At 34.3% G+C, this 12,212-nt stretch overlaps 1 protein-coding gene across 17 annotated transcripts in view; it reads left to right on the top strand.

Moving 5' to 3' along the window:
* The window catches only part of BRD10 (bromodomain containing 10), a 129,649-nt gene that overhangs the window by 62,841 nt on the left and 54,596 nt on the right, over window positions 1-12,212 (top strand). For 12 of the 17 annotated variants that reach the window (XR_007061251.1, XR_007061249.1, XR_007061250.1 and 9 more), the window contains one exon: window positions 682-771. The exons of 1 other annotated variant lie outside the window; for it this stretch is intronic. Coding sequence is in view for 7 of the 16 variants with exons in the window: in XM_011517760.4 (XP_011516062.1) it covers window positions 682-771 (90 nt within the window). In the remaining 9 variants the exon portion in view is untranslated. 4 more of the 17 variants (XR_001746207.3, XM_047422862.1, XM_024447429.2 and 1 more) reach the window with 3 other exon arrangements.

The raw sequence follows: 12,212 nt of genomic DNA, 5'->3' as shown, positions 1-12,212 counted from the left end.
GTTTAGTTGTTAGTAATTAATAATTATTTTGGCCATTTGCCAATGTTACCAGGTGAAATGAAATGAGCCACACAATTATGAAAGGAAATAGATGCTATCTGTGGAGATGGTTTTATTAAAGACTACTAAACTGATATTAAGAATGTGTACTTCATTTTGTTTAGGTCTTTGAATGTGTTACATATAGTTGCAGTCCTTTTAGCAACCCCAACAGCAATAACTAAGGTTTGTTAAATTGTATAGTTAGCAAACCAAGGCAAAGGTATAACAGTTCTCCAAGAGTGTGTTTATTCACCTACTGGGAGACTGCCTGATGAAGCATTTCTTAAAGGTGATTTGACAACCTGTGAAATCTAGGGTGAGTTTCCAGATCTTTGTCATTCTGGGCTGAAAGTTAATGATGTTAAGAAAGTACCCGAATTATAAAGCAAACTGAAAGGTGGGGATGTGGGATGAAACCACCAATGTTGAAATTTCAGCTTCTTTTATACTAAGCCTGAAGTTCATACATCATAGCAAGTAAATATATTTTAAAATATAAACTGCAGAGCTTTTCTTGCTTTTTACTATTACAGAGAAAAATAATTGTGAATTCAGTGTGTGTTAAAACAACTTCTGTTACCACATTTTGGGTGTTTTATATTATGTGTTATCAAGCTGTGTTTTTGTGTTTTATTTTAGCTTATTTGCACTAATCTTGATGAACTCAGGGAATTAATCACAAAAATCGAGAATGAACTCAAAGATCTGGAAAACAGTAGAAAAAAATCGGTAGGTGTTGATCCAAAAGTTCTATCTATTATTGTCAGCATTAAAATTTATTCCTGCTTTTTCCTAAAGCCTTTTTGAAATCTTGTTTTCCTGGATTACATGAAAATTTACCATGAAAGATAGAAACATTGTTTCTTTTATTTCTCCTGTGTGGTCTAGTTTTCATTTTTAATAGACAGAAATCGTGCCAGGGGCTGTTAAATTAATTTTGTTTGCCTGGTTTGTATCAGGTATAGTTTTAGATATTTCCCAGTATACTGGCTGGTTGTTTTCTGACTGGTAGTTTTTTGGGTAATGTTTGCCTTGCAAATATTCTTAATAATTATATGCTTTTAATGGAAGTTTATTGCTTAGTAACATAAAATTTTAATTCAGTGTAACATAAAAACAGATGTAAATTGTTTAATACTGCCCCGGATAATTTTGACACATACTTAACAATATGACTTTTTAAAGAACCTTTATCTGCTGAAAGTTTTTTTTTAACTTTCACTATATCGTCTAAATTATAATTAATCTTTACTTTCATTTTCTAATATTTTTATTGTTCTTGAGAGACTAGAGTTTAAGGGCATATATTTATTCACCTGATACTTGGTAAAACACTCAATTGTGCTATTTATTAAATCAATAACACCTATTTAACTAGCATTTATAGTTGGGCTATGCACAGATTTTAAACACAATTACATACCAGTAAATAAATGGGAAAGGCTTTAAACCTGAAGAAAATCGTTTTTTTTAAACCTTTCGTTTTGCGCCTTAGGAATATCATGAAGCCACTTTTAGATCTATGCTCAGAACCTGTTAATATAAATATGTATAAAATATGGTTAGTGATTCAGCAAGTTTGATATCGGCAGATTTGTGTTAGTCATTTTATATGTTGTTAGGAAAGACATGTTGGTAGCACTCTGAAAGGAGGAGATTGCAGTACCATAAAAGTACAGCCTTCTGAAGTTACTTAGTACTAGGGTGAAACAGCCTTAAGCATTTCAGAAGTCTCATGTGTGACAGATAACCCTGAGAGTATCATGGTAATTTAAGAGAATAAATGCTCATGATGATAGTCATCAATTAGCAAGAAAACATTATGTTCAATAATTAACTTGAGAATGTGGAAAAGTGCATATTTTGGAAATATTTTCATTAAAAATGGTTTAGATTCTTATATTTTTATACGTATACACTTTAGGTGTATAGGCAGTCTCTTGATGTGGAAGACCATCTGTTTCATTAAAATTTACTGCTGTGATATATTCCTCAAATATTTATGTTATGTAAATGTCATTTACTCTGTAGCCAGAGGGTTTTTTTTTTTTTTTATGTTTTATGCTCAGAAAGGACTAATTCTGTTCCTTAATGGGAAGGAATAGTCTTTTTAAAATATCAGAGTGTTACTGTTTTTTGCAGAGGTTGTTTTTAGGGAGGTGTCCATATTTCGTTCTAAACAATTCTGTTAAATAAAGTTGCCAATTTTTTATGCTACAGTTAAACATAACTTTTATTTATTCCCATATTATAAATTAGAGCATTTTTTAATGCATAGTTTTAAACATAGTTGAATTATGTACTTATGGTATATATTATAGGAGAAAAAGACTTCTGCAAGCATTCTAGAGGCTTCTGTAAAGCCATTCACCTCATTTCCATTGGTACTGTGTAGAAGAAGAATAAAAGAAAACATAAACCACAGCCAGGCGTAGTGGCTCAGGCCTATAAATTTAGCACTTTGGGAGGCTGAGGTGGGAGGATTTCTTGAGCCCAGGAGCTCGAGACCAACTTGGACAACATAGCTAGACCCCGTCTCTACAAAAAATAAAAAATTAGCTCAGCGTGGTGGTGCATGCCTGTAGTCCCAGCTTCTAAGGAGGCTGAGGCAGGAGGATCACTTGTGCCCAGGAGGTCGAGGCTGCAGTGAGCTGTGATCATGCCACTGCGTTCCATCCTGGGCAACAGAACCAGAGCCTGACTCAAAAAAACAGAAGAAGAAAGCATAAACTACAAATATTTGACATTGTATTCCTTGAGGGCATGTTAATCAGAAAATTTTAGATTACCCTAGGGTTTAGTTGATTTGATTTGTATCTCTAAACTTTTAACTTGTCCATGCCCCCTGATGTTTGCATATTAGTTTTAAAATATGTTTTCCACCCTTCAAAAAGTAGAAATTCTTGGAACTGTACTTAGCAGGGATAATCTTACTGAGATTACTAAACATAAGAGCTCTTTCTCCTTAATTTAAACTGTTTAAAAGATTGTTTACATGAACAGACTATCTTAACCAATGAAACAGCCACATAGCAAAAAGCAAATAGACAATAAAAGTTTGCATCTATTGTTCCTTATTTTTTACAAAAGCTAATATTGATTGTGATAGATATTCTAGGAATTAACTTTATTGAATGTTTATGTTATGAAATGTATGTTACGTTATGTTATGTTACGTTATGTTATATGTTATGTATGTTTACTGCCAGTTTAGCATCATTTGGGAGTAAGGTGTTCCACTTAACTGAATTTCTAGATAACTGAAATGTAAACCTTTGATACTAAAACAACTTTAATGGAAAAACTTCCCTGACTCCTTGTACTAAACACAATTTAACCTTTTCTTTATGACTTGAGGGTCATCGTTATGAATAACAATATTGTTATATTGTTATATATAGGAAGCCTTCCTTCACTATTGTCAGACAAATGAAGTATTAATACTGATCTTCATAAGAGTATTTCACTGTCAAAACTAAGTATCTGGAGTCAAAACAATTCTTTTATTATCAACATTCATTATCTATGATAATGGCTCCAGTAACAAGATATATTCCATTATAATATTTTGGAAATATATTTATAAAATATTTCTTTTTATAAATTATAAGTGTCATTACTAAAGATAGAAATTACACGTGTGATAGAGGATTTAACATGGATTCATATAATACAAACACCTAGCTGCATCAGGAGGCTTCTCTGCAGGGACTTTCCAGATAGTATTTCCTACCAAAGTAGAAAAGCAGCAGGGAAGAATGGTCCCATTTTTTCACTCAGGTAAACATTCCATTTTAAAAGTTTTTTTGTTTTTAATTAGTAAACTTTATTTTTTAGAGCAGCTTTATGTTTACATAACAAAGTCTTTTTAACCTTTTAGAGGTTGTGTCATTGAACTACTCATTGTACTGGAAGACTTAGTGTTTTAAAATTTAGATTGTTTACTCATTCTTGCAAAGCAACTAATTTTGTTTATGGTTAATGTGAAGAGAAAAATGCTTTTAATTTTCTGAAATTTATACGCAGTTCACTTGATCCCATCACTCCATTTAGGGGTTTAGTCAAAAAAGTCCTCATCATCGTTTAGATCCTGTGGTACTGAACTTAATTTTTATCTACCAGGTATTTGTTAAAAGTGAGACCTCTGGTTGAGATAAATATGTAGTTTGACAAAGCCCTTTAGTTTTTGCTTTCTCATCATTATTTACATGATAGCATTCTTTCATGATCTAAAGAAGAAATCAGAACATTTTGTTTTTATTTTTGTGGTTTTAGTTAGCAGATAAAATTTGCATTTTGCTTATTTAAAAAATACCTGTTTTAATGTAGAAAATTTATTAGTTTTCCTGAAAGATAGAGCTAAGATATTGATAACTTTACCTGATCTTATTGTACTTGAAATTTGTTAGATAGTATTGCTTTCTAAATAATAAAAATTGGAAGATTTCGCCAAACTTATATTTCTAAGTTTTTCATATAATCCCCTTTTCCCTCATATTTGTTTAATGCCCTTTATGTTCTGTATCATAGTTCTGATTTTCAAAGAAGTTTCAGTCTTTTTCAATTAAGGAAAGACCCTTGTAGAGATTGGGTATGAGGAAAAGTGAAAATTTTGCAATAACTATGTTATTTATAAGGAAAAAAACCTCTTCTGGGTTATGTGATGATAAATGAAAGTCTTATAAATATTGATAATTAAATTTTAAATGTAAGACCACATCTTTTCTAATACATCTTTTATCAGATAAGCCCCTCAACATTGAGTAAGATCTAAGATTTTATTTATTTCTAAATTTTATAATCAATATGTAAGGAAAGCTATACATATTGAGCACAACCGCCTGTTTGCTTTGATCCTGTGATGATATTTGGAATTTAACTTTTCTCCCCATTTGTCCTCCCTACCCCCAAAAGTAATGTACACAATGGTGTATTTAGCAGACCACCCCTCGTAGTGGAAATTTGGAAAAAATCCATATGTCCAGCAGTAGCGAGGTGACTAACTAAACAATATTAACACACTGTTATATAGCTAGCAAAATTGGTAGATCATTTTTACAATACGGAAATATTTGTGAAATGTTAAGTTTTAAGAACATACACAATAGGCCAGGCGCGGTGGCTCACGCCTGTAATCCCAGCACTTTGGGAGGCCAAGGTGGGCGGATCACAAGGTTGGGAGTTCGAGACCAGCCTGGCTAACATGGTGAAACCCTGTCTCTACAAAAAATACAAAAATTAGCCAGGCTGTAGTGGCGCGTGCCTGTAATCCCAGCTACTCGGGAGGCTGAGGCAGGAGAATTGCTTGAACTAGGGAGGCAGAGGCTGCAGTGAGCCAAGATCGCACCACTGTGCTCAAGATTGTACCAGTGCACTCCAGCCTGGGCGACAGAGCAAGACTATCTCAAAACAAAAAGACATACAAAATAATATGTACATAATGATTACAGTATGTAAAAAGATATGTTAAAAAGAAAGAAATTTCAAGTAATGGATAAAATTAATCTTTATTATGTTCTTAAAATAAGGTAAATTCAGAATACAATAATAATACTTCTCTTACCTAACCAAAGGGTGTACATTAGCTAGACTGAATATTAGAGAAGTCAGAAGCTTAGATCAGAGATGCTAACTCCCCCAGTTTTTTGGTCACAGAGTTCTGTATAAGCCAGTGGTTATCAATCAGGAATGATTTTGCTCCCCTTCCCTAGGACACATTGATTGTCATAGTTGAAGAAGTGGCACTGGCATTTAATGGATTGAAACCAATGTTGCTGCTGAACATCCTACACTGTAATGATCCTACAGTGCACAGACATTTCTCCACAACAAAGAACTGTCTTGTCCCAAATGTCAGTTGTGCTGAGGTTGTAAAACCCTGGTAAAAGCCTGTATTTGCTAAGGGCCTTATTCTTTCATTCTGTCCACTGCTGCCAACTTACTTGGAGAGAAAACAAGTTGATGTTTTGAAAGTTAGGTAGAAATCACTGAAATCATAATACCAGATCCCATCATAGAGAGAATTCTATTACATAATATACTTCTAATTAAGACTTGTACTTGATGGAACTTGTGAATGTCTGTGTTAACCTTTACCTTTCGTGATTCCATCGATGATTAAGAAAGATTCTTGACCTTAGCTTCCCTTAGTATAGGAAATAAGTTACAAACAATATGGTTATATATGTATTTTCTTTATTCAGTTTTAGAAATATGATGTGATATGTTCTTAACTGAAGATATTGTAAGGAATGATAACATAAGTAAATGGAAAAATATTGACAAGTAATGTTATAAAATAATGTTATAAAACTACATATAATGTTATAAAACCACTTATTACACATGTAATAGTAGTGTTTTAATTATGTTATAAAACTACGTGTAATAAGTGGTTTTATAACATTAATAACGGCTTTCACTATATGAATACTGATATGAGGCAAAGAAATTATTGTGCATTAATCTTATTTTCTAACACCTGTAAAAAATAAATTTTATTCTATTCTATTGAAGGATAATGGAATTTTCCCTCTTCTCTCCATTTCATGTCCCATTTTCTCAGTAAGGTATCAAGTCAATATTTTTAATATTATTTTATAGCCAGCTGTTTAGAATACAAAATCTGTTGTACTACAGTATAAGGAGATTTAAGTATATTCAGAGTTCTCAGTAAGCCCTAATTACTTTACTTCATGGCTTTGGTTGTAATAATCTCTAAATTATTCTTAAAATTAGTTTTATTTAGGGTTTTAACAGTCACATCATGTGTACGATATATTTTTTATTCTAGATCTTCTGGTAAACTCGTTAATGGTTAACAAAACTGAAAACTATCTCAGCTGTGGGAGAAAATCAATCTACCTTTAAATAGTTACACTGTCTTTTAAAAATTAAAATGACCTTTTGGAAATGTTGCACAACAGATAAAATGTGCTTTTTACCTGCTTAGTTACAGATTCTAGCCTTATTTATTAGGTAACTATTTTCTGAATGTCTTCTATGTGCTGTGTATAGTACCAGGAACTTGGTAGGAATCCAGAGATTAAAACTAAGTTCCTATAGTCAAGGAATTCACTTACAGAGTAAGATTTTATCCTCAACCTGTGGGTTAAAATATTTATTTATTTTAATTTATTTTTATTATTTTTAAGATAGGGGCTCCTTGCTCTGTCACCCAGGCTGGAGTGCAATGGCACGATCATAGCTAGCTCACTGCAGCCTTGACCTTCTGGGCTTAAGTGATTCTCCCACCTCAGCCTTGAGAGAAGCTGGGACTAAAGGCTCAAACCACCACACCTGGCTAATTTTTGTATCTTTTGGAAGAGATAAGGTCTTGCTGTGTTACCCAGGCTGGTCTCAAACTCCTGGGCTCAATTGATCCTCCTGCCTTAGCCTCCCAAAGTGCTAAAATTTTTATTTTTAATTAGGGTTGGTTGGGCTAGCCCCTGTCCTTTTATAAAATATTTAATCTTTTATTTTCAAGCTGTTTATTCATAAGTCACCAGACACCATAGACATTTGCTCACTTCCCTTAATTACATGTTTATATTAATATGTTGTTTGGGAGTAGGGTAGAAGGGCAAATAACATGAATTTTATGGAGAATCAAATGTTAACTGACATGTTCAGAATAATAATGAAAAAGGGGACCTAGATGATAGGAAATGTGAACCAGATATATATGACTGGTAAGGCAAACAAAGCTTCAGTTGACTGTAGTCACTGAATTATTTGAGAATGCATTATCTTCATTCATATTCTACTCTGCACAACTAAGAACTAGATTTTAACTTTGGTTTACAGTGCTCACTGTTTCTACTTACTGCAGTTTGGCTTGATGGTTTGAATCCCATCAGGGAAAGTTGCATGAAAACAATGTTTGAAAACCTCTCTCTTCCAAAGAAAGATTGTACATTGGTTTTACATCAGGCAGGGAGTTAATGCTGTATATTCCATTTATCCCAGCACAGAGTTGAGTTTCAGAGGAGTTGACCTAAGTACAGATCCTTCTGTAGTCAAGAGCTTTCTAGTGTTTCTTTTTCTTTTTATTTTCTTTTTTTTGTAAACGGAGTCTTGTTCATTTGCCTAGGCTGGAGTGCAGTGGCATGATCTCGGCTCACTGCAACCTCTGCCTCCCAGGTTCAAGCGATTCTCCTGCCTCAGCCTCCCTAGTAGCTGGGATTACAGGCATGTGCCACCACGCCCAGCTAATTTTTGTACTTTTAGTAGAGATGGTTTCACCATATTGGCCAGGCTGGTCTCGAACCCCTGACCTCAGGTGATCCACCCGCCTCGGCCTCCCAGAGTGCTGGGATTACAGGCTAGTGTGTCTTTTATAATTTGCTTTAAACCCTTTTTTTTTTTTTTTGAGGCAGAGTCTTGCTCTATCGCCCAGGCTAGAGTGTAGTGGCATGATCTCGGCTCACTGCAACCTGCGCCTCCGGGTTGAAGTGATTCTCCTGCCTCAGCCTCCTGAGCAGTTGGAACTACAGGCACGTGCCACCACACCCAGCATATTTTTGTATTTTTAATAGAGACAGGGGTTCACTATATTTGCCAGGCTGGTGTCGAACTCCTGACCTTGTGATCCACCCACCTCAGCCTCCCAAAGTGCTGGGATTACAGGCATGATTGCCACCGCACCTGGCCTAAACCTTTTTCAATCACGTATCACATACCCTTATTCAAATATAAGTAATTTAAATGTCAAACATTTTTCAAAGTCCCAATAAATTTGTATTGTCTTCTGTTTAACAGTTTGATTACTACCTTCCATGGTTCTGGAAAATTGAATTTAAATCTATGAAGGTTAAGGTAAAAAAATGAGCTTTACATCATTCTTAGTTTTTGTATTATAGAAGATATAAAAATCTTTGGAAAGACTTTAATTCAGTGCCTTTTGTGAGTTGGGAAATTATGTCAAAACTCAGTGGACTGAATATTAATAAAACTTTCTTAGCATCTTACTAGACTCTGTAGAAAAAGAAAAAAATTATACATCATATATTGAAGGAAAATTAACCCAGAATCCAGCAGAGAGCACAAAGGAGCCTAAATAGAGAGCACAAAGTACACATGTGGATGTTCCACTACTTTAAAATAGAAAGACCTTATGGGAAACCAGTTCTTTAAGATGTAATTCTAATAAGTAGTAGCAGCTGCTTTTAATTAGGACAGGAGATGTTTAAGGCAGATTTACTGACAGCATGAAACACTGATAAATTATTCATTTATTTGTTTTTGAGACAGGGTCTCACTCTGTCACCCAGGCAAGAGTGCAGTAGTGTGATTTTGGCTCACTGCAAACTCCACCTCCAGGCTCAAGCAGTCCTCCCACCTCAGCCTCCCCAGTAGCTGGGACTACAGGTGCACACTACCATGGCCGGCTAATCTTTGGATATTTTGTAGAGACAGGGTTTTGCCATGTTTCCCAGACTAGTCTCGAACTCTTTGGCTTAAGTGATTTACCTTCCTCTGCCTCCCAAAATGCTGCGACTATAAGCATAAGCCCCCATGCCCGGCTAATGAATAATTTTTTTAAAAAGCAATTGAAAAAAATAAGTAAAAGCAGGTCTTAGGAGTTTAAAACTAACAAAATAACTCGTTCATAATGATGACCCAAGTCATCAAGTTAGATTATATTCATTATATTGTCAGAAAATCTGAAAGACTTATACTTTAGGAACATTTTAATCAGTTTTTAAATAACCTTTTGTATCTAAGGAAGAAACCTCAGTTACATGAGAAATGTGCTTATGTAGTGGAACACTTAAAGTGGGCCTTTTCTGTCAGAGTTAGGCGTTGTGAGAGAATATGAAAAAATAAAAGTAAGTAGGATACTGTCCCTGCTTTTCAAATATTTCCCGTCTTAATTTCACTTACTTGGAACTTTTTATGCCCCTCTTATGCCAAATAAACATGCCATTACTTTGTGGTTTAGATTGTGCTGTGAATTGTTTGAGAACCCATCTTTCTGATAGCATATATGGATCTGTTAAAATATCATCAGTTTGTTGGCTTAATATCAATTTATTGAAAACAGTCAAATTCAGATACTCAACCAGTGGTTAATTTCTAGTCCACGGTTCATTCTTTGTAAATGAAAATGGTAGCACATTGTCTCTTAAATGTATATTGTTAGATTTTCTTCCCCGGTGATAGTGAACTACCTTACCAGGAATGTGACCTGTCACCCAGTTTTTCCCCCGCTACAAAGCTGGAAGACAGAGAAACTTGAAATGTTATCATTATTGTTATTGTTGTAGTTTGCCTTCATGCTTTCTATTTAAATGCTAATTTAGAAATATAATGGAAATGTTGGATATACTATTCAATGTATTCAGTGTGGGATGCCTTTAAAGTACAAACGCGTTCCTTTTCTCCTAGTCTTAAGTAAAAATTGGTAAGAGTATCAAGAGAAAATAATAGCATATATAATAGTTCATGTTAGAGCTTCTGTCAGTGTTAAAGTACTTTTTAACTTTTTTCATATTTATATGTATTATACTGTCAAAATAGCACTTTTTCAGGGACTGTGTACCAACATGATTAACATGATGTTTTACCCCCAAAACTGTGAATATGCAGGAATATGTTAGTATGGTGGTAGTTTCTGTAGGTAAGCAGTAAGAAAAATAGGTGAATACTTATTGAATATAGTATTACCTTTTCATGTAATAGTACTTAGACTAAGGAGAATGTCAAATAATTAGTTTATTAAAATACTTAGTTACAGTTTATTATATACTGTTTTTATACATGTGAGTTTAGATTATACCTTTGGATATAGTTAGTGATTTTAAATGAGACATCTTTTAGTGCCCAGCTAACTCAGTCAGTAGAGCACGAGACCCTTAAATAAGACTTCTTTTTGTAGGGATCCATTTAGCTTTTCTAAAAGGTATTTGTGTTTTAATTAAAAAACATAATATGGCCGGGCGCAGTGGCTCGTGTCTGTAATCCCACTACTTCAGGAGGCCAAGGCAGGTGGATCACTTGAGGTCAGAAGTTCAAGACCAGCCTGGTCAATATGGTGAAGCCTCATCTCTACTGAAAAAACAAAAATTTAAAATTAGTTGGGCGTGGTGGCAGGCATCTGTAATTCTAGCTACTAGGGAGACTGAGGCAGGAGAATTGCTTGAACCCAGGAGGTGGAGGTTGCCATGAGCCGACATCGTACCTCTGCACTCCAGCCTGGGCAACAGAGCAAGACCCTGTCTCCAAAAAAAAAAAAAAAAAGAAAAGCGTAATATATTGATATTTAATACCTTCTCTACCACAGAATTTATGTCTGTGACAAGAATTAAACTTGTAACAAAAAATGTTCTGTGCTTCATGTGTCTGTGATCTAACAACATATTTGTAAATAAAAGCATATAGGAAAAAAGCATTCATACTTTTGTTGTATATGTTTTGTACTGTTCTTTTAAATAAAAATGTTATCTCCACAATAATACCATCTCCATTTTAAAAAGCATTCTTTGTATATTTTTATATGATTTTAATTTTTTCTTCATATGACTGCCGATACCTGTTTTGTTTAGATATAATATTACAAGAAAAATCTATGTAAGTAACTGTATGGCTTGTATAAACAAGTGACTTTCACCTAAGTTTAATGTACAAAGTATCTAAATTAAAGTGTGCAAAATATATTTGTTGTTATGAGACATTTAATATAGAATTTATTTATGTCCCTCTTTTTTTCCTTTTTAGGTATCCAATGTCCCCAGCATCAGTAGATTGCCAACTCCCTCTCCTTGCCACACTCCAGCCAGTGTTATGCTGGTGCTGTCATACCCATCCCAGATTACTGTAGCAGAATGCAGTTGTTCTTTAGTTGTGAGGTAAGTTTCCCTCCCGACTCATTTCACATACATAGAGATGCAGCTTTTCTTTTTACAATATTGTGTAGTTTTGTAAGTTATTTTTTATTTTCCTTTATGATTCCTTAAGTTATTAATCTGTTACATTCAAAGACTTATAAAACTGCATGATATAATGAAGGACTTAATCTTGTGACCATAGACCAGTTCCTTGTTGTAGCAATCCCTATGGGGTTATAAAACCTCCAGTGTTTGGTAGTTGGGCCATCTTATGGAAAGGGAGCTGGCAATCTGCAGCTGCCGTGGACATTGGATGAGAAAGCATGAAAGGTAAGCTTCAAA

The sequence above is a fragment of the Homo sapiens genome, chromosome 9, assembly GCF_000001405.40.
Source record: "Homo sapiens chromosome 9, GRCh38.p14 Primary Assembly".
In the NCBI taxonomy this organism is placed as follows: Eukaryota; Metazoa; Chordata; class Mammalia; order Primates; family Hominidae; genus Homo; species Homo sapiens.
The sequence above is the reverse complement of the archived record's forward strand: the minus strand, read 5'-3'. Positions and strand labels throughout refer to the sequence as shown.